Source organism: Homo sapiens, chromosome 6, assembly GCF_000001405.40.
Source record: "Homo sapiens chromosome 6, GRCh38.p14 Primary Assembly".
Lineage (NCBI taxonomy): Eukaryota > Metazoa > Chordata > Mammalia > Primates > Hominidae > Homo > Homo sapiens.
In genome coordinates this window covers 138,195,994-138,219,443 of record NC_000006.12, presented here as the reverse complement: position 1 = coordinate 138,219,443, position 23,450 = coordinate 138,195,994, and the positions used below count along the sequence as shown (strand labels likewise).

At 39.4% G+C, this 23,450-nt stretch overlaps 2 protein-coding genes across 3 annotated transcripts in view; one reads left to right on the top strand and one right to left on the bottom strand.

The window, feature by feature from the left end:
- Positions 1-23,450, bottom strand: part of ARFGEF3 (ARFGEF family member 3) — a 182,725-nt gene that overhangs the window by 125,220 nt on the left and 34,055 nt on the right. For both annotated transcript variants that reach the window (XR_001743524.2, NM_020340.5), the window contains exons 3-4: positions 12,321-12,402; positions 9,403-9,534 (exon numbers count right to left, since the gene is read on the bottom strand). Coding sequence is in view for 1 of the 2 variants with exons in the window: in NM_020340.5 (NP_065073.3) it covers positions 9,403-9,534; positions 12,321-12,402 (214 nt within the window). In the remaining variant the exon portion in view is untranslated. The remainder of the gene's footprint in view (positions 1-9,402; positions 9,535-12,320; positions 12,403-23,450) is intronic.
- On the top strand, positions 953-3,458 carry PBOV1 (prostate and breast cancer overexpressed 1). Its single transcript, NM_021635.3, has one exon. The coding sequence runs from the start codon at positions 1,049-1,051 to the stop codon at positions 1,454-1,456; it is 408 nt and encodes a 135-aa protein (NP_067648.1). The 5' UTR covers positions 953-1,048; the 3' UTR covers positions 1,457-3,458.

Sequence of the window (23,450 nt, the reverse complement as noted above, 5' to 3'; positions counted from 1 at the left end):
CTGAATCATCCTGCAAACCCATCCTCCCCCTCCTCACCTTCCATGTTTAACACCCAGCTCTGTCTGGATCACTTGCCTGCTTACAGAGAGCAGGCCCTCTAGAGCCTCTTCAACCACCCTTTCAGGCTCATCGTCCACTATCCCTCACTAATCTCAGTTTCCATCCCCAGGACTTTTTTTCTCTACCAAGAATGCCCTCTCTCCCAACATAATTATCTGAATCCCACCTACCTTTCAAAGTCCAACTCAAATAGTATCCCCTCCTTAAAAGGATGTTCTGCCCTGCTAAACATGCTTCTTCCTCCTGAATGTGCCTCCTGAACTCTTCTCCTGATTAAACATACACAGCTACCTTGAATTGTGGTAATTGGCTGCCTCTTTATTGCTTTCCTACTGAATTATAAACCCTTGCCTTTGAATATTTTGTTTTTAATCCTATATAGTTTTATGCACTGTTGGCAACAAAAATATATTTCCTTAATAAATCAATAAAAAAAGGTCTAAAAAAGCAACAAATTTAAAAGTTCCACGACTTATTTTTTCAAGTTTAATCTGTAACAAGCAGATTTTGACTTAATCTCACAGCTGGGTTTTTAAGAAGTCAAATTTCATTGGTATGCCCCAGATAACACCCTCACTCCTTCCTTTTCTCTTTCCCTCTCAGACTCTCTGCAGAATGAGAGCCTCATCTCAAATTGTCTCTGCCCATACAAACACAGAACTTTTGATAGTTTTATTGTTTATACTTATAGACCTGACCAAGCAAGCTCCTCAAGATAGGGTTGTTAAAGGGCTACAGCCAACCTGATTCTCTACATCTGAAACAATAATTACAGAGCTCTTCTGGAATAATCAAATCATAAAACTCTACCTCGTAGGATGGAACAGAAACATTGGCTCAGCTAAAGAGTGGGTGTTTTCCTTAGATTGTGGAATCATGGCTGATGGTTAGGACCTTAAATATATCGAGGTGGCTAATTGATGTATAATAATTTACAAAATTATTCTTCTATGCTACAGAGCTACAATTCAATTTACAGTAGTAAATATGAGGGCCTTCTTAAGGAACCAGAAATATGAGGATATGCACAATATTATTCACATTTTACAGATCAGAAAATTGAGGCACAGATTAAGTAACTTCCCAAGGCTACCAGGCATTCTAGCTCCAGAAACTGTGCTCTTACCATTCTGCTACAAGGTATTTCGAAAAAAAGAAAAAGTAAAAAGAAGTCAAAAGGCAACAGAGTTCATTGATTATTCCATAGAACAGTCACACCATGCAATTCTCACACCCTTGCAGACACACTTGACCATGAAAGGTTCCTCAATGAAATGTTCCTCATTATCTTCAGAAGCCATATTATTCACATTGACTTTGCAGTTAACTCAGACCCTAGGTCTGGAATGCTGTCTTCTCTACTTATCCAAAACTATACATCCACAGATCATATAAACTCTCAGCCCTGCTGCAAAGCCTTTCCAGAAAAATAAAAATGGTTGAAAAGGCAATTCTGCTACCAATGACTGTTTAAGCCCAGCCAAGTAACTGAACCATTCCAACTTCAATTTACTTATGAAAAGAATTTGATGATGTAGGAGGTTATTTCAATTCTAAAATACAAACCCATGTTGATCTTTCTCAATCTTGAACTCATAGATTATTATCTATTATCTCAATTTAGTTTGTTATTTATCCTAGTGGGCCATTAAAAACTACCACATGTGTTTCTGTCTCTCCATTAGTCAATAACTAAACTAACGAGCAATTAGTAAGCCATGTGCCAGATGCTCCGCTAGGCACCAGAGGGATAAAAACAATACTTATAGTATACCACTAATTTTCGCTTAGTAACTAGTGAAATGTTCAAGTCATGCCTGAGTCAAGAGTTGAGGAGACATTACAATGTGTAATGGAAACCAAGGAAAGTGAAACTTTGGATAAGTGGGGACTAGTGTATTTATATATTTAATTGATTTCTGACTCTATCATTGGCCTCCAAACACAGATTGTGTTTTTCTTTGGTTTTGTTTTCTTCACTATGGGATCTTCTGTGCCCAGCACAGTGCCTGACACATAGAAAACAATCAAATATTTGCTGAATAAATGATTAAAAAATCAGAGAACTTTCCCATTCTGTTTGGATCTATAGAACATCCAGAGTAAGTGATGAGGGCCTCTGCATTTATATGCGCTTAAATTAAGATTATGTGAGAAAAGTTTAAAGACACTTAGTAGAGTGATTTTGAAATATAGTAAACACTTGGAAATGGTGGTGCTTTAAAAAGATATTAATAGATAATATGAAAATCTCCATCTCAAAAATAATGCATAAACTATTTAAAGGAAAATCACATCTCCAGGCTTTCAATGTTTGTTCATTACTTTTTCATATATTTTTACCATCTGCTGAAGGCAGTCATATCAAAGGGTAAAGAAAGATGGGAGGAAAACTCAGTAAGAATTATATTAGTCTGTTTGCAAAGTAGAAAAAGATTCTCATCACTCAACCTTATGAGCAGGAAGAGGGAAGGCTGTTTGAGAACCATTTACTTAGCAGAACCACATATTTTAGACACTTCCCTGCATTAACTGCACAAACAATATGTTTGCAAACTTGTTAGATCAACCTCCAACAACGACACATTCAGGAGTTAAATATTTTTCATCAAACATTGGATTTTTCCTTAACGCTAGAGATTGCTACAAATCTTCTGAAGGGTCTCAATGGCTTCAGGCTAAGAAGAGATTTCTCCCTGTTATAAGCAGCAAGACAAATTAGCCATTTCACTCTCAAACTTCACTAATGATCACATTCTTTCCAAAAGGAACTCTAGAAGACCAAATGCCCCGAGTTAAGAACATCAAAACTAACCATCTGAAGAAACTTCCCAAGTGTAAGACTCTGCCATTAAAACATTACCGAGAGGGGACTCAAACAGTCTTTCTTCCTTTGTCGTGTTTCTTGCTCCCAGACCAAGGCACTGACGACAGTACTGATACATAATTTAAAAGCACACTCCCTTCCACTTTGTAATACCAGAACTCTAATTGGACACCCTGAAGCTTAGGACTACCAGCCATACAAATAGTAAACTCTGTCCACGATTCACTCATCTGTGTATTTTCTATAGATGTTTACTAGGCGTTTGTTATATAAAAATACCCCGGCCAGGCACGGTGGCTCACGCCTGTAATCCCAGCACTTTGGGAGGTGGGTGGATCACCTGAGGTCGGGAGTTCGAGACCAGCCTGACCAGCATGGTGGAACCCCCATCTCTACTAAAAACACAAAAAATTAGCCGGGCGTGGTGGCACATGCCTGTAATCCCAGCTACTCAGGAGGCTGAGGCGGAGAATTGCTTGAACCCGGAAGGTGGAGGTTGCGGTGAGCTGAGATTGCACTATTGCACTCCAGCCTGGGCAACAGGAGTAAAACTCCCCCCCACCCAAAAAAAAAAACAACAACAACAAAAAACCAAAAAACCAAAAAACCAATGGTAAATTACACTCTTTCCCTTTCCCCAACACTCTCTCTCTCTCTCTCTCTCTTTCACACACACACACACACACACACACACACACACACACACACACACACCAGACCGATTAGCTAACTTAGTGGAAAAGACACTTAGATTCCTTCTTCATATGTGAATTTAGCTCACAGGACTAGTGAGGGAATATCATTATCACGGGAAGACACAGAAACCACACAGGACTCTGAGCCACTCCTAGTTTTACCCCTCCTTAGCCTGTGACTTGGCTTTTCTGCTCCATCATCTACACAAGAAGAATAGCAGTGACTAGCACCCACAAGCCTCTCAGGATAGACTTGGCAGGCAAGGTAACCCACCACTTAAGAGCACAGGTTTAACTCCAGGCTGAATACTGCCCTGGTCATTTCACTAGCTGTGTGACCTTAGTATCAATATGTCTGGTGCATAAAAAATGTTAAATGATAAGCCCCTGTCATTTCTCCTTTAAAAATTGCAAAGCACTCTACGAATATTCACTTCTATTATCTAAAAATGCACATAAAAAAGACACCCAGTAATAGAATATTCATCAAATGCTCTCTCAGTGTCCAGCATCATCTCCTTCCTTATCGCCAAAGCCAGCCTGCCCTCCCCAGATAGGATGCCCACATCTCCCACATGCTTACAGAGGCGAACAGCCAGCCATAATTCCATTCGGCAGCCTTTGAAGACTCAGCCAGCTGTATCAGTTAATAACCTCACTAAAGGTTATCCATCAGAAAGAAGGGAAACAAGTCCTAACTACTCTCGTCAGAGAAGTCATTAGATCCGTACATGGCTCCTATACAATCTGCCTGGCATTTATGGAAATAGCACACACCATAGGAAAATGTTGCCAAAGCAGACAAGTATTTAACCTAAATATTCAATAGTCTACTAATCCATTTCCAAGGTAATCTATCTTCAGAGCCTCTTTCTGATTCTGTACAGTTCTGACCATTTATTGTTTGCTCAAGCTGTAAAACTTTTCTTTGGGTTCCATAGCCATTTCAATAAATCAAACTTGCCTTTTCTCCCCTTCCTGTTAAATAGTAAAACCATGTAGAATAGTTCCTAGACTAAGTGATTTAACCTCATTCCTATTTGTCAGAAGCAGGCTTCACTGATTTTTTTTAACCCTCTGATTGAAAGTCTTCTTTCTAAATGAGAATACTATCCTTGGAATATTGGATTTCATTATTGGCCCGTTTCTGTTTAATCTTGGAGAAATCTCTACAAAAAGGAAACTATATTATTTTCTTTCCAGAAATTTAATACAATTGTTCCATACACTTTAGAGTGTGACATGGTTCAATCTTCCATGTTTATAAGCACTAACAGATACCAATATGTGAATAAAACGCATGATCTAACTTCTAAAAAATAACACCTAGGATCCGTTATAACAACGTGCTATGCTGTGGTCGGACAGACAAATAAAAACTGCATGGTGTGGCCTTATCCCTCCTGAATAGCATATCCAGACCAACATTTGAAGATGTCCACCATATCTTGTTTTAAAAGGTTTTCTGTGCCTACAAAATACTTATATAAAATGACTGGAAGATTTTTATAGGAAATTTCTTAAATAATTTATCATCAGAATGAGTCATGTAGAAGTGCCAAGACTAAATTAACATACCCTTCAGATGTAATGGAAATCCAGTCTTTTCTCTGGGGACTCATCTAATTCTCTCTTCTATAATTTTTGGGAGAATACAGTAAAAGCATTTAATACAGTAATGGTATTAGCAAAACAAGGACTTATTTAAGAGGCTTTACCTGGATCATTACAAGTATTACCGAATTATAAGATAAAGGGTGTTGGCTTCTGGAGATTATTAAAAAGTTGATATAGAAATTCCTCATTCAGAGAGAAGAGGGATAAAACTTATTATTCTAAGCCAGAAAGTCTACACTGTGAACCAATCTCTATACCAAAACAAGTATTTTCAATCTCAGAAATAGCAAATGATTATGGAGCCCTCACTTGTGACCTATCAAAGTCAGGTTACCATCAAGTTTTATTTGATGTTAATAACAACATTACCCAAAGTATAGTTATCTTGTCATTAATTTTCTAGCAGCTTGGCCAAAATGTTTATCAAAAAGTATACTTCAAAAAATTAACTTCAGGCTAGGTTTGTTGTGAACTGAAATATTTTTCCCCAATCCTAATATTTAAATAGTTAAAAATAATGGTATGTTTCCTATCATCTCCCCATCACCCCTCCCTTCTAAGCACCCCAGTCTCCAGCAATCATTATCTTACTCTCTACTTCCGTGAGATCAACTTTTTTCGATTCCACATGTGAGTGAAATCATGGTATTTGTCTTTCTGTGCCTGGTTTATTTTATTTAACATAATATCTTTTGGGTTCATCCACAGTTATAGTTAAGTTGGAGGAATAAATTTTAGGAGCTCTACTGTATAGCAAGATGACTATATTTAGTGACAATATTTTTTTTTTTGAGACAGGGTCTTACTCTGCTGGCTACAGAGCAGTGGTACGATCTCGGCTCACGGCAACATCTGCCTCCTAGGTTCAAGCAATTTTCCAGCCTCAGCAACCCAAGCAGCTGGCACTACAGGCTCACACCACCAATGCCCTGCTAAATTTTTTTTTTTTTTTTTTTGAGATGGAGTCTCGCTCTGTCGCCCAGGCTGGAGTGCAGTGGCACGATCTCAGCTCACTATAAGCTCTGCCTCCCGGATTCATGCCATTCTCCTGCCTCAGCCTCCTGAGTAGCTGGGACCACAGGCACCCGCCACCATGCCCGGCTAATTTTTTGTATTTTTAGTAGAGAAGGGGTTTCACCATGTTAGCCAGGATGGTCTCAATCTCCTGACCTCGTGAGCCCCCCACCTCGACCTCCCAAAGTGCTGGGATTACAGGCGTGCGGTATTTTTTTAATTATACTTTAAGTTCTAGGGTACACGTACACAATTGAAGGTTTCTTACATAGGTATACATGTGCCATGTTGGTTTGCTGCACCCATCAACTCATCATTTACATTAGTTATTTCTCCTAATGCTATCCCTCCCCACAACAGGCCCTGGTGTGTGATGTTCCCCGCCTTGTGTCCAAGTGTTCTCATTGTTCAATTCCCACCTATAAGTGAGAACATGTGGTGTTTGGTTTTCTGTCCTTGTGATAGTTTGCTGAGAATGATGGTTTTCAGCTTCATCCATGTCCCTGCAAAGGACATGAACTCATCCTTTTTTATGGCTGCATAGTATTCCATAGTGTATATGTGCCATATTTTCTTAATCCAGTCTATCATTGATGGACATATGGGTTGGTTCCAAGTCTTTGCTATTGTGAATAGTGCCGCAATAAACATATGTGTGCATGTGTCTTTATAGTAGCATGATTTATAATCCTTTGGGTATATATCCAGTAATGGGATAATGGGATAGCTGGGTCAAATGGTATTTCTGGTTCTAGGTCCTTGAGGAATTGCCACACTGTCTTCCACAATGGTTGAACTAATTTACACTCCCACCAACAGTGTAAAAGCGTTCCTATTTCTCTACATTAACTTTTTTTATTTTTTTGTAGAGATGTGGTTTCGCCATGTTGCCCAGGCTGGTCTCAAACTTCTGGGCTCAAGCCATCCCCCTGCCTTGGCCTCCCAAATTGCGGGGATTACAGGCATGAGTCAAATGCCCAGCTGACAATATATTCTTGAAAAATGTAAACAGTGGCTATTATGTGCTGTCACCACAAAAGTGATAACTATGTGACATAATGCATTTGTTAATTAGCTAGATTTAAGCATTCCACAATGTATACAGACTTCAAAATCATGTTGTACATGATAAAGCATACTATGTTATCTGTCAATTAAAAAAATAATAGCATGTAACAAAGGCCCTTATCTTTTTAAGCATTTTGGAAATCTCATTGTAAAGACTGACAGATTCATTGTTTTTCTTTTTTCTGACAGTGTCTGACTTTCCTCCCAGACATTAACTAAAAGTATCAAGGTTTATAATGGTGTCATTGGAGAGTCCATTAAGAGGCTTTCCACGATTTCTGGTGGAGTTAACCTGTGTCAACTCCTATCTTCGGCAAGGCTAGCAGAAGGCACTGCTGGGCGGGATGGAATCAGAAAGCAAGTACAAGTTTTCAAAATAGGTGCGACTGTTGACATAACCATTAAACGTTCTGCTTGTGCATAGCTCCTAGAAGAATGGGTACTTCCTCATTTTAATTTTTAATACAAATTTCTGTATTCCACAAAAACTATTCCTGGGAGAATTTCCAGAATAATATGTAATCTGACTTGCATCTCTTAGTATGACACCAAAGCTCACTCTCCAGTATTTGGAGCCCTAATAGAAGAAGAAAGATTCACAGGTTGCACTTTGAAGTTACAAAAGTGATTAGCGTGGCAGTTGGTCTTGCCTCTTTTTCAGGAGTGGCACAGATACAGTGGAGAAGTCAAACAAAGCTAGAAGGGGTCACTCTGTGGTTCCTAAGAATGCACAGCTGCCAAACTGAAAGGATAAGGCAAAACTGTACATCCCAGAATCAAAGAGAGTTAAAGATGAATGAGATCCTAAAGATCAGCTAGCTCAGGCATCATCATGTTCATTGTGTTTAAGAATCAGTTGGGATGCTAGTGAAAGCTGCACATTCCTACTCCCATCCGCTGAGATTCTGATTCAGCAGCAGGAGGCAGTAGTGGTACAAGTAGTGATATATAACATTTCTAAAGCACTAGCTTTGTGCCAGATACTGTGCTATGTTCTTTACAAATGTCACCTTATTTAATTCTCAAAACAATCCTATTGGGTGGGTCCTACTATTGCCCCCATTTTACACACAAGGAAATCAAGGTAGAGTGACTGAGGCATCTGTCCAAGGACATTCTGCTAGGAAGTGGAAGAATAAGAATTGAAACCCAGACAGGCTGGCTTCAGAGTTTGAGCTCTTAATCATCACCTGAACTACCCACCAACAGGGTTAGGGTGAGGCCCAGGACATCAAGAGAATGTCATGACTGCAGTCAATCTTTTCTGAATGGAGAAACTGAAACCAGGAGAAGTGTAGTCTCTTATCCAAGACAAAAATCCTTCAGTGCATTTCCAGGAAGAAATCCACCATGGGATGACACCAACTATTCCTGAATATTTCTCAACATATGTTCCCCGAGAGAGGAAAAGGACAGAATACATTATTAAAAGCTTTCTTGTTGGTTCCTGCTGTGTTACCATGACCAAGGTGCTGTTACGGGGCAGAGTTTCTGTCCTTTCTGCCCAACTCACCATTCACTCAGAGAATATGACACACTCTGGTCAGCATAACGGACCCCCAATCATGGTGATTCTTAAAAGAAAGGGAAAGCAGGAGGGAGAGATGCTATCCCTAAAAGGAAGGCGGTACTTGGAATGAAAGAGGTAAGTTTCATATAATTTGAAGGAGAAAAAAAAAAAGATGTGTATTCTGACATGCCTCCCAACTGTGGTCTTTCTGTCCCTAAACTGACCATTCTGAAATCTCAGTATATATCAAAACATTATTATTATTGCTTTGTTTTAACATATGCGAGCAGGCAGAATACCCAGAATAATCAGATCTACCCCACGCTGGAACTACTCACATACATTCTCTTAAAAGATTACAAATACACTTTCTAATGGCCTTTAATGCAGAACAAGGCCAAATATCTCAAGGATTGATTGAAATTGTCCCTTTTGATGTTAAACCATCAGGGTAATTTAGGGGGACCATGAGCAAGAATAACAAGCATCCGTTCCAAATGAAGATGAGCTAGCATGACCACAACGCAGAGGCATTTTCAGATAACAAGTGCAGGGGATCAGGATGTGTTCCTGTCCCAGTGACGCACACTCTTGGCCACGTCAAACCAACCTTCATCACTTCCACCTGCAGGTCCTCGTTGAGCGAAGGCGTCACTTTCACGGCATTCAGTATCTGATTGAGCAGCTGCTTCTCATCAGAATCTGTTTCCATGGATACAAACCTCTCTTCCGACAGAAGCTTCTGTAAAGAGGCACAAGGCAGTGATCACAGATAGGCTCTCCCCTGCTGCCTTATTTGGTTGTATCTTATTATGGATTGATGATCAGTTTTCTTACTGGGGAGGCGTGTAGCTGGAGGCCATTAAGAAAGAACTTACGCTATGTGCCGTTAAAAAGAAAAATGCGGCCAGGGCAGTGGCTCATGCCTGTAATCCCAGCACTTTGGGAGGCTGAGGTGGGCGGGTCATGAGGTCAGGGGTTGGAGATCAGCCTGGCCAACATGGTGAAACTCCGTTTCTACTAAAAACACAAAAATTAGCCAGGCGTGGTGGCGGGTGCCTGCAATCCCAGCTACTCGGGAGGCTGAGGCAGGAGAATTGCTTGAACCCGGGAGGCGGAGGTTGCAGTGAGCCAAGATCACACCACTGCACTCCAGCCTGGGAGACAGAGCAAGACTCTGTCTCTAAAGAAAATAAAACTGCATGCAACCTTGAATAAACCGTTTTTGGCAAAGACCTTTTCCTGCTATTGGATTATTCATTCTAAGTTCCATCAAGTGAAACCCTAATGTGCCGGCCATACAAAGTATTTAGGTGGTGGGAATGGAGAATGATCGTGCTAAGAGGAAGCTAGCCCTACCCACTAGTCACACACACACATATGCTTTCTAAATGTGGCTTCGTCACAGGAAAGAAGGTCTTGTAGACAAGATCATTTTTCAGGTTTTTATCTTTTTACTTCCTAATGTGAGCTGTCATTTATCCAGGAATTATTTAGGAATCCAGAAATCTTCATGTATGTCCCCATCAGAAAATGCATCCCCCCCAAAACCTCAACAAGAAGACATTCATTGTTATGAGGACTTCCAGGAGTCTACCTCACAGGATAGGCTTTTTCTATCTCTTTCTCATTTTCATAAAATTCTTTTTCAGATTGTACCAAAATCCACCTGCCCACAACTTCTACTCCTTCATCTTCCCCCAGAGACAAACAGATTAAGCTTCTAAAATATCTGAAACCAGCTATCAGGTCCACCTAAGTCTTGTCTTCTCCACACTAAACCTCCTCAGGCTCCTCCAAATGTTCTCTCCAAATGAAACCAGATAAGGTTTCACTTGTGCTTAGAATGTGGCCTCAAGAGTGGTCTGATATTAACATACATAATTTGGATCACATTCTCTGGTCAAATGAGCTTAGTTGGTTGTCACAGCACATTCTATGCCTGTGAATGAGGCATACAATTTCACCCTGAAACCCCTAATTCTCATTCACAAGGACTGCAATTAAGCTATTTTCCTCCATGCTGTCTTGGTGCAATTGATTTTTGAGACCCCAGTATAGACCTTTATATTTATCCCTATTCAATTTGTTCTTTTCCAAAGGGGCTTCGAGTTGCAGCCTGTGAAGAACTTTGAGAATTCTGATCCATCCAGTGTAATAACTCCCTCTTTTACCTTCACACCACTGAAGACCTTGAAAATAATATTTCAAACCTTTTTACTTAAGACTCCCTGAAATTTTGCCTATATTCTTTCAAAAGGATTTTTTTTTTCAGAATCATGTGGTATACTCAGGAAAGCTCAGAATTAGAGTTTACATACAATTTATTTTTACTTAAAGTGATAAAAACTGAGACGCTCTAAAAATATGCCTAAAGTTAAGAGGAGGTAGCAGGGGATGGTAAAGGGAAGACTCACAGCCCACCAAGTTGCTTCAGTTAACACGATTCAGTAAGCCCTTGAAAATATGGCACTGCAATTTAGAATATTCCAGGGTTAAAGAAAAAAGAGAGAGAAGCTAAATGCAAAATCTACACAACATTAGAGAAAAAGGAACAAAAGTGACAGATCAAAACAAATTCTCAACCATTTTTATGGTTGGCCCAATTACCTTGGAGAAAAGCAAAAGGTTTTTAATAACATTATTGCTAATGTTTAAAATATTCAAATGCTGCTGTGTATAAAAATATACATTAATTCCAATCTGCTGGGGGAAAAAGAACTGTTTTCTCACTATTTCATAGGTTTTATCTCTTAAAAGGTATTGGGAACCTCTCTGAACTCAAAAAGCTAACTATGAAGCAGTTGATACTGACATAAAAAAAATCTGACAAATGCCACCATGGTTTATCCATCGCCACACTGAACAAACTCCTGCAGGCTTCAACTTCACAGTGCTTTTCTCTTAGAGGCCAACCACTTTAAAAAGTATGTATATTTACATAGTCATCACCTTTTTACCATCAGAATTAGATCCATTATGTTTGGTGTAAAACACAAACCAAAAAAATGTATTCAAGCAAATCTGGCTTTTCTTGTTAAACCAAATTTCTTTTTTCTTCCTAGTCTTGCTCTGGACATAAAAGATAATAATCCATTCATCAATCTAACCGTGGAATAAAAAACAAAACAAAATCTTTCCAGTTTACCATCAATTTTTATTATATAGAACCATAGATGTTGAAAGTATACAAGATTTGAATTGGTATGAACTTGTCGTCTCTTTTTTGGGATCCCTTACTCTCCTGAAAGATGTCACACACAAAAAAAATCCCTATCTGTGTGGGCTTAGCTAGGTCCACATGAATCAGTGTCTGATCACAAAGGTTCAACGAAATAATGCTGTGTACAGAGAAATTCTGGTGAATATAAGAAAATCCTGTTATTCTCTATAGTTATTTCCTAGTTCAATCAAATTTCTGCCTGAGTCTTTAAACAGCCAGTATTTAAAATGTTAACTATTTGCCCTTTCAATGCCAAAGTGGCCTGTCAATTTCTATCATCCCATTGCATTCAGTCAAAGCCATACCTGCATCCCTGCCAAAGCATGTTGGGCCAGCTTCACATTCTTGGATTCCAAAGCCAACTGGAGAGGCAGCAGGCATTTCTCCCTGGCAAACACAAAAATAAGGACAACATGTGAGCTCAGTAAAGCTGGCAGTCAAGTGATGTAAGCCTTATGTACACCCACCCCCAAATGCCACTACACACATACACAAAAACTATAACCAATAATAAAAATGCACATGGGCTTAAGAGAAAACACAGCAAAGAAGCTGTGCAGAAATGATAGCCCATCAACCCCTTGCCTTCTTGGTATGGCTACAGGAAGAGCAAACACAAAGACTTTCACTAATTATTACCTGGTACACTCATTAGTACACATTGGGACCCCGGCCAGTCTGTGAACATGCTTTGTTCTTTCCCAAATTAACAGCACTGCTCACACCCAGCACACCTGGGGGTGAACAACTCTAGGAAGCATCATTAAGTAGATTTCTATGCCTTGCTTCTACCTCTTCCTTACCTGGAAATTATATGCATCACCATCAGCACTCTGTCTCATCAATATACATCAAAATTCTATTAGTTTGTCAATTCCTCCTCAACTCAAAGAATTCAACAATTTATAAATTTAACATTTGCTTTATAGTCTCCATCAAGAAGTAGATCTGAGTCTTGTGACAGGTTCTTAATGAACATGTTTCCAAGACAGAAATACAAATGAACCATCAATAGCATTGGCCGATAAGAGGTGCCTAGATGCAACATTATCTAGTGTCAGGGGAGAGACAAAAAAAAAAAAAAAGGAGAGATATTTGGATATTTTAAAGGTTAGGGAAAACAAGGGCATTAAAATATTTTAGGAATAAACCTAAAGAGTTACAAAGACAAAAATGTCTGTTAGAAGCATCTACTCTAAATAATTAAACGACAGACCAAGAATTTTAATCAACCCATTATTTCCCTATGGAGTTACACTGGCACAAAAATAAAATGTGACTTCATTTTACCAGGTTTCTCCACCCCCACTTAAACCAGAGTAGGCCCACTCTTATCTGTTTTATATTTTCAGCATAAACTGAAAGATATATTGATTTTTAGAGTGTGAAAGCTACCACATTAGACTATAGGATTTCATCATTGGAGAAATAAGGGTTACTGCTGTAGAACACAATGAAATACAAAGTTAATTATAGCTCTGATTTCTCCCTGTCCACTCTGCAGCTCTGCTGCTTTTCCATGGAATCCTTCCATCAGCAGCTTCATAACCGATGAAGCGAGAGTCACACACTCCTTAATATAATGCCAGCCACACAGACTACAAAAACAGACCATCAGGAAAAATGTTTGCCTTCCTAACCCTCACCGTGCCCCTCAACAACCCAATGTTACAGTATCCATTTTTATATGACAGTTAACACTACAGCCATTTTTCATTAGATTCATCCTTTGACAGATGGATAAATTACCCAACTCTGTTACATCCAGTTGGGTGGCTGTAACTTTGTCACTGTTATCTTACTGTCGGCTTGTCACAATTACAAGGCAAACACTGTAGTGCACTCAATTAGTGCAGGAATAGCTGATTTTTTTCCAATTTTGTTTCCTTTATGCAATGATAACCAGTTTAAGAGCTTAGAAAAATTAAACGGAGGTATGAAGATAGAGTGAGAAGTAGGAACCAAGGGCAGATGGTAGGCTAACAGAAGCAGCACAGAACTTCATCTGTAAACCCCTGAAACAATCAAATTTCCACCAGGATTAATCCACTGTGAAAGAACTTTCCACTTGAAGTTGGAGTCAGATTGGCCAATGAAAGGGCATAATAGCAGGGAACAAGCATGGGGGTCCAAAAGTCTTACAGCCTAATAGCCCAGGGAAGAGGAAATATATCCCGTAGCTATGAGCTAAAAATGTACAAATATTTACACATTACTCACCAAGGGCACCCAACAAGATTGGATGCCATGTCCAGCAGCAACAAAGACCCTTTTGGAAATCCTCAATGTGTTGACCCTTGGAAAGCAGCAATATGTTCGCCTATCTATATTACTCTGCCATCTGTGGATTACTGCCATCTGCAGTATTAGCCCTTGAAATCCTTATTCCACTCTCTCACCTGCTTATACATTCACACGAGTGATACTGTTGACCTGAGCCAGGTTGTTGACAAATGCTAGGATCTCCAGGTTGCACCACCACCAGGAGACATCACTGAACTGTTCCCCATGCAAGCCATGGTCACAAGGCAGGACTGGTAGATGAAGGTGGTTCAACTAGGTTTTGGCTGAGTTGAAAGATATGAGTGTTTAGTAGAAAGAACATGGGCTGTGGAATCACACAGACGTGAATCCAAATGCTAGGCATTGATAAGTTTTGCAGTCTCAATTGAAATACTAAACTCTGTGGGTCTTAGCTCCCTTATCCATAAAAAGGGCATTTGAAGACCAATCCTGCAGAGTTGGAGTATAATATGTAGATAATATGTAAATAATATATGTATCAGAGGTTGTCAAACTTCTTTGGTAAAGAGCCCCATAATAAATATTTTAGACCATGCATTCCAAATGGTCTCTGTCTTAACTATTCAACTCTGCTAAAGCACAAAAGCAATCACAGACCATTAGTAAATCAATGAATGTGACTATGTTCTAATAAAACTTTATTTACAACAACAGGCAAAAAGCCAGATTTGACCTACAGGCTGTAGTTTGTCCAGCATTGATATAGACAAAGTGCCCAATGCAGATCATGATCTTCAGCATGGGATAGGCAAATCAAATCTTTTTTTTTTTTTTTTTTTTTTTTTGGAGATGGAGTTTCATTCCTGTTGCCCAGGCTGGAGTGCAATGGCGCGATCTCGGCTCACTGCAATCTTTGCCTCCCAGGTTCAAGCAACTCTCCTGCCTCAGCCTCCCAAGTAGCTGGGTTACAGGTGCCCACCACCATGCCCAACTAATTTTTTGTATTTTTAGTAGAGATGGGTTTCACCATGTTGGCCAGGCTGGTCTTGAACTCCTTACCTCAGGTGATCCGCCCACCTTGGCCTCCCAAAGCGCTGGGATTATAGGCGTGAGCCACCGCGCCTGGCCTCGAATCTTTTTATGTACCCAGAAAGATTTTGCACAGAACAGGGGCTAACTGTCCTGGGAAGGTCATAGCAGAGGCAAGCATGGCATCAAGATCTCCCTTAGAAAATAAATGCATTGGCCGGGTATGGTGGCTCACACCTGTAATCCCAGCATTTTGGGAGTCCAAGGAGGGCGGATCACGAAGTCAAGCAATAGAGACCATCCTAGCCAACATGGTGAAACCCCGTCTCTACTAAAAATGCAAAAAAATCAGCTGGGCATGGTGGCGTGGGCCTGTAGTCCCAGCTACTCAAGAGGCTGAGGCAGGAGAATCATTGAACCTGGGAGGCAGGCGTTGCAGTGAGCCAAGATCGTGCCACTGCACTCCAGCCTGGCAACAGAGTGAGACTTGGTCTTAAAAAAAAAGAAGATAAATGATTTGGGGAAATATCACTATAGACAAAGATTTCATCTGGATATTAAACCAAGGCACTCCATCATTCAACCATCCATCCGATCATCCATTCAATATTTGAGTGCCTCCTGTGTGCCAGGCAGCATGCTGAGAGCTAGGGAAGAGCCAGCAAGAACAGGTCACAACAGGCACCTGCTTTCATTAGTATTCATGGGACAAAGAAAGAAAAATGAAGATTAGCACTTATTATTTATCTCATCTTAACTTTCACTACAACCTTCTTGCCCTTATTCTAAATTTGAGAAAATTGAGGTTCAGAAAGGTTTTGTAGCCTGCCCAAGGCCACACAGTTAAAATGTGTTGGAGACAACTCAAACCCAAATTCATCTGACTCCCAAGACCAAGTTCCTTCCAACCTCCTTTGGTCTCATAAGATCAGAGCAAAACTAGAATAGATGTGCTTCTTAACCCATTTTAGTTCTTAAACACACACACACACACACATACACACAATCTGGCAAAGGACCCTCTTCCTAGAGGAGGGTGCCTATCATTTCAGGGAATCCACAGGTCCCCAAACCTCGACTCTACATGGATCCCAAGTTAGGAGTCCCTATCCTTAGGGTAAAGAGCTCTGCTCAACATTCAAGGTCTGTATCAGAGAAGAGGGCAGTGTAACCTGGCTGGGGTTCTGCTAGGACTGCCTTTGAAGAGATGCTACACTGAGCCCTGGGTAGCTATGTGTGTGTGTGTGTGTGGGTGTGTGTGCATGTGTGTGTGTGTGTAGGTGTATGTGTAGGCTACTATAATTTTATAGTAAATAAAATTCTATTGTTGAAATTGAGGACCAATATTTTAAGAAAATGTCTACGTCAATAGTGCTATTTATTGCAAAGTAGTTGCTTCTGACCGTATCTGCAACAACAAAACAGATATTTACTTAAAATGAAATGCTTAAAAACAGGGTTTTTTTTTTTTTTTGCTAGTAAATACTAGTAAGAACAAAAGTGTACCCACCAGTCTAATGCTCTTAAACAGCTAACAAAAATCAACGTGAATGAAAACAGTTTACTGTAGTAGTAACATGGTTGGCAGCAGGGCCATAATAATCTGTATCCAAGGCCTCTCATCCCCTCAGACCCAGCAGCCCCTAGAGTAGTATCACAAGCCTCAGACCCTGACTTCAATTGGAAATGAACCCATATGCAAAAGAAGGAAATTCATGGGGCATAACTAATTTTGCTGCTTGCTCTGTGATATCATAAAAACCCTCCTACCTTCATTTTTTTTCTAAAAGTGATTTTAATGAAAGAGAAAACAGGCCTGTTAATTGGGTCTCAGGACGAAATTTATAATGAAAATGCAACATGGCACACACTCAATCCCCTTTGCACACACTGTACTGGAATAAATCATCTTTTGATCTTTCTAGATGCTGCCTCATTGGGAAAAGGGCATAGCAAAAACCAACATTCGATTACATTAGGCGATTATTTTTTATGCACAGGCACGTGCAAATTTATTCTTGCCTAACTAAATAAAGGCAGTGGCCCCCAGGTTTCATGTCCTGACATGCCATTATTTCTTAAAGAAGAATAATTAGCAGTGCTGCATATGCATGAGGAAGGCATCATCCGCACTGTGATGCTGCATCTGGTCATGTCAAGGAGACTGAACCTATTTCCTTAACTGCATAGTCATGGTTAACAGACCAGCTTTATTAGGCTAACAGGTAACAATGGACAAAGGGAAATTAAAATAGGGAACAAAGGAAGAGTTAGGATTTACCAATAATTATCTTTCAATACAAGCACCAATGTGAACTTTTTAAAAAAAAATTTGTTCGTAAGTTATTGGGGTACAGGTGGTATTGGGTTACAAGAGCAAGTTCTTTAGCGGTGATTTGTGAGATCCTGGTGCACCCATCACCCCAGCAGTATACACTGCACCATATTTGTTGTCTTTTATCCCTCGACCCCCTTCCACTCTTCCCCTCAAGTCCCCAAAAAGCCCATTGTATCATTCTTATGCCTTTGCGTCTTCATAGCTTAGCTCCCACATATCAGTGGGAACATACGATGTGTGGTTTTCCATTCCTGAGTTACTTCACTTAGAATAATAGTCTCCAATCTTATCCAGGTCATTGCAAATGCTGTTAATTCATTCCTTTTTATGTCTGAGTAGTATTCCATTGTATGTATATACCACAGTTTCTTTATCCACTCATTGACTGATGGGCATTTGAGTTGGTTCCACGATTTTGCAATTGTGAATTGTGGTGCTATAAACATGTGTGTGCAAGTATCTTTTCTGAATAATGACTTCTTTTCCTCTGAGTAGATATCCAGTAGTGGGATTGCTGGATCAAATGATAGATCTACTTTTAGTTCCTCAAGGAATATCCACACTGTTTTCCATAGTGGCTGTACGAGTTTACATTCCCACCAGCAGTGTAGAAGTGTTCCCTGATAACCACATCCACAAAAAACATCTACTTTTTAAAATTTTTTGATTATGGCCATTCTTGCAGGAGTAAGGTGGTATTGCAATGTGGTTTTGATTTGCATTTCCTTGATTAGTGATGGTGAGCATTTTTTTGTATGTTTGTCGGCCATTTGTATGTCTTCTTTTGAGAACTGTCTATTCATGTCCTTAGCCCACTTTTTCATGGGATTGTTTTTTTCTTACTGATTTGTTTGAGTTCATTGTAGATTCTGGATATTAGTCCTTTGTCAGATGTATAGATTGTGAAGATTTTCTCCCACTCTGTGGGTTGTCTGTTTACTCTGCTGACTATTCCTTTTGCCATGCAAAAGCTCTTTAGTTTAATTAGGTCCCAGCTATTTTTCTTTGTTTTTATTGCATTTGCTTTTGGGTTTTTGGTCATGAAATCCTTGCCTAAGCCTATGTCTAGAAGGGTTTTTCCAATGTTATCTTCTAGAATTTTTATAGTTTCAGGTCTTAGGTTTAAGTCCTTAATCTATCTTGAGTTGATTTTTGTATAAGGTGAGAGATGAGGATCCAGTTTCATTCTCCTACATGTGGCTAGCCAATTATCCCAGCACCATTTGTTGAAAAGGGTGTCCTTTCCCCACTTTATGTTTTTGTTTGCTTTGTTGAAGATCAGTTGGCTGCAAGTACTTGGGTTTATTTCTGGGTTCTCTATTCTGTTCCATTGGTCTATGTGCCTATTTTTATACCAGTACCACACTGTTTTAGTGACTATGGCCTTATAGTATAGTTTGAAATCAGGTAGTGTGATGCCTCCAGATTTGTTCTTTTTGCTTAGTGTTGCTTTGGCTATGCGGGCTCTTTTTTGGTTCCATATGAATTTTAGAATTGTTTCTTGTAACTCTGTGAAGAATGATGGTGGTGTTTTTATGGGGATTGTGTTGAATTTATAGATTGTTTTTGGCAGCATGGTCATGATCAAGTGGGTTTCATACCAGGGATACAGGGATGATTTAACACATGCAAATCAATAAATGTGATATACCATATAAACAGAATTAAAAACAAAAATCACATGATCATCTCAATAGATGCAGAAAAAGCATTTGACAAAATCCAGCATCCCTTTATGATTAAAACCCTCAGCAAAATTGGCATACAGGGGACATACCTTAATGTAATAAAAGCCATCTATGACAAACTCACAGCCAACATAATGCTGAATGGCTAAAAGTTGAAAGCATTCCCTCTGAGAGCTGGAACAAGATAAGGATGCCCACTCTCACCACTCCTCTTCAACATAGTACTGGAAATCCTAGCCAGAGCTATCAGACAAGAGGAAGAAATAAAGGGCGTCCAAATCAGTAAAGAGGAAGTCAAACTGTCCCTGTTTGCTGATGGTATGATCGTTTACCTCGAAAACCCTAAGGACTCCTCCAGAAAGCTCCTAGAACTGATAAAAGAATTCAGCAAAGTTTCTGGATAAAAGATTAATGTACACAAATCAGTAGCTCTTCTATAAACCAACAGTGACCAAGTGGAGAATCAAATCAAGAACTCAATCCTTTTTAAAATAGCTGCAAAAAAATAAAATATTTAGGAATATACCTAACAAAGGAGTTGAAAGATCTCTACAAGGGAAACTACAAAACACTACTGAAAGAAATCATAGACGACACAAACAAATGGAAACACATCCCATGCTCATGGATGGGTAGAATCAATATTGGGAAAATGCGAACTTTAAGTAACCCCAAATACATTCCTGAATGTTAGGCTGATTCCTCTTTGATGCTCTGGGTGAGAAGAGGCACAAAGATATCTTACATTTCTGAGGTCTGCTTATACTCTAAAATTCTAGGATTCTGTGATCTAAGCCATTTATCAAATAACTGTCTGAATTTCTTCACATCATAATCATAGGTCTGGTTGAAATGGCTTAGATGTGGCTTACAAAGTAACATGCTACACATGTCCCTATTTACTATTTAATTATAACTTTTGAAGGTAGACATTTAATTTTCAACCAAACTGAAACTAAGAGAGATTAGGTTACTTGTACAAGGTCATACGTTTGCAAATGACAGAGTGTGATGCAGACTTAGACCATCTCTTTTCTTTTAAAAAAATATTAAATAGACACAGGGTTTCACTATGTTGCCCAGGCTGGTCTCAAACTCCTGGCCTCAAATGATCTTCCCACCTCAGCCTTCCAAAGTGCTGGGATTACAGGCATGTGCTGCCATGCCTAGGCTAGGCCAATTTGTTTTGAAAATCTATGTCCTCAAGCCTACGCCATAACGTCTACACGGAGAGTCAGCTCCCACCAACTATGCGTAGGGCACACTGCTTTAAAGTGGTAATTCAAAGGTCCACTATGTTAAGAATGGGGACAGGCATCAAACAAATAATGTGAACTTTCTTATTTCGAGTGATAATTCATGAAGCAATGCATTATGTTGACAGTTGGTGTGTAGTTATGAGAAGGTGTAGGCAGTTTGGATATGTGGAAAAAAATCTGGCTTTGGAACTAGCTGCTGAGTTCAAGCCACAGCCAGCACCTTTCCTGGTAGTCATGCCGTTTCCTAATTTGCATATGAAAGGTTTCTACCCTCACTGTGGTGACACTCAAGTTGTTATTATTCATGTTAATGAATATGGGTCCTTTACATTTAAACAGTTTACACCAACATTGATGAATTTTCATTGATTAAGCTTTTGCCAGGGCCAATTCCATTGAGCCAACTGGAACTAAATTGGTTCCTTAATTGATTTTCTCTACAGTGCAGTTAAAATGTTTCCATTTCATTTCTATTTTAATGAAATTATTTTTATCAGTATCAATGCTTTTCTATTTCAAAACAAAGATTGGATTCACCCATCAGGCACTGTTTCAGGCCCTAGGGATATAGCTGTGAACACAAAATCCCTTTTCTCCTGCAGGCTTTCAAGGTTTTTTAGCAAGCCTATTGCAATTATTAAGTTGAGCATATGAAATTGGCATTTGTGTAGGTCAGAAGAGGTTGAATATTGGCAATTTCATGATTCAATCTAGTAGAAATAATTCTAAATAATATAAAATGGTTATGCCTATACTTTACCTCAAGACATCAACTTTTATTGTCCATGATTTTCTCATAAAAAGCACACATGTATATAAGAAAAATCCAAACAAGCAGAAAAACAAACATAAATATACACCAATGCAAATCAATTAGGGCATTAGTTAAGAAAGAGCTCAGCTCAATGTTGGCAGTGGGTATTTCCAGATAGTGGCATGGGAGAATTTTTTCTTTTTTTATACTTTCCATTTGTACCGATTTTAATACAATAACTCTAGAGTATACTTGCATAATCTGAAGAAAATACTTCTTAAGCTTGACTGATGTAAGGAGAGTGGCAGTTGAGTCACGGAAGTGCCATCATTAAAACCTCCAGCATGCCAGTCACCGTGCTGAGAGCTCAGGCACTTGATCCCAACAACTCTCACAACCACTCAATAAGGATGGACAAATACAGTCATGTGCCGCACAATGGTGTTTCCGTCAATGACGGACCACGGTGGTCCCATAAGATGATCATGGAGTTAAAAATTTCCTATCACCTGGGAAATTTCCTATCATAGCTGTCCTAACATCATGCAACACTATACTCACATGTTTGTGGTGATGCCAGTGTAAACAAATCAACTGTGCCGCCAGTTGTATAAAAGCATAGCACATACAATTAGGTACAGTACATCACATTTGATAATAATAAACAACCATGTTACTCATTTATGTATTTTCTATATTCTTATCATTATTTTAGAGCATACTCCTTCTACTTATAAAGAAAAAAGTTAACTGTAAAACAGCCTCAGGCAGGTCCTTCAGGAGGCATTCCAGAAGAAGCCATTGGTATCATAGGAGATGACAGCTCCATGCATTTTACTGACCCTGAAGACCTTCCAGTGGGACAAGATATGGAGGTGGAAGACAGTGACATTGATGATCCTGACCCTGTGTAGGTCTAGGCTAATGTGTGTTTGTGTCCTGGTTCTTAACAAAAAGTTTAAAAATTAAAAAATAAAGCTTAAAGGCCGGGCATGGCGGCTCATGCCTGTAATCCCAGCACTTTGGGAGGCTGAGGCAGGTGGATCACCTGAGGTCAGGAGTTTGAGACCAGTCTGACCAACATGGAGAAACCCCATCTCTACTAAAAATACAAAATTAGCCGGGCGTGGTGGTGCCTGCCAGTAATCCCAGCTACTTGGGAGGCTGAGGCAGGAGAATCGTTTGAACCCGGGAGGCGGAGGTTGCGGTGAGCCGAGATCACACCACTGCACTCCAGCCTGGGCCACAAGAGCGAAACTCCGTCTCAAAATAAATAAATAAATAAAAAGAAAAAGAAAATAAAGCTTATAGAATAAGGATATAAAGTATTTTTGTACAACTGACAATCTGTGTCTTAAGCAAAGTGTTACTTCAAAGAATCAAAAAGTTAAAAAATTAAAAAGTTTAAAGGATCAAAAAAGTCACAGTAAGCCACAGTTAACTTACTATTGAAGAAACAACATTTTAAAAATAAATTTAGTGTAGCCTAAGTGTACAGTGTTTATAAAGGCTAGAGCAGTGTACAATAATGTCCTCAGCATTCCCATTCACTCACTGCTCTCTCACGGACTCACCCAGAGCAACGTCCAGTCCTGCAAACTCTATTCATAAGTGCCCTATACAGGTGTACCATTTTTTATCTTCCGTATTTCATTTTTACTGTACCTTTTCTATGTTTAGTTACACAAACACTTTCCATTGTGTTACAACTGCCTACAGTATTCATGCAGTAACATGCTGTACAGGTTGCCTGGGAGCAATAGGCCTACAGCCTAGGTGTATAGTAGACTGTATCATCTAGGTTTGTGTAAGCACACTCTATGATGTTTGCATAATAATGAACTTGCCTAATGACATATTTCTTAGGACCTATCCCCATCATTAAGTCATGCATGACTGTATTATTGGCATTTACTGATGAGGGACAGAGGGAAAGAGAAAAAAATCACTCCTGGACAAGAGGCAGGGCAGGCACCAGACCCCTGAGCTCATGCCTTAGCACATGAGACCTTAATGGTTACCATTTGTCAATCTCAAACTACATTCCAAGAATGAGGTTAAACATTTTACATACAGCAAGCCAGTGAAGATCTTTTTTTTTCTTTTCTTTTTTTTTTTTTTTA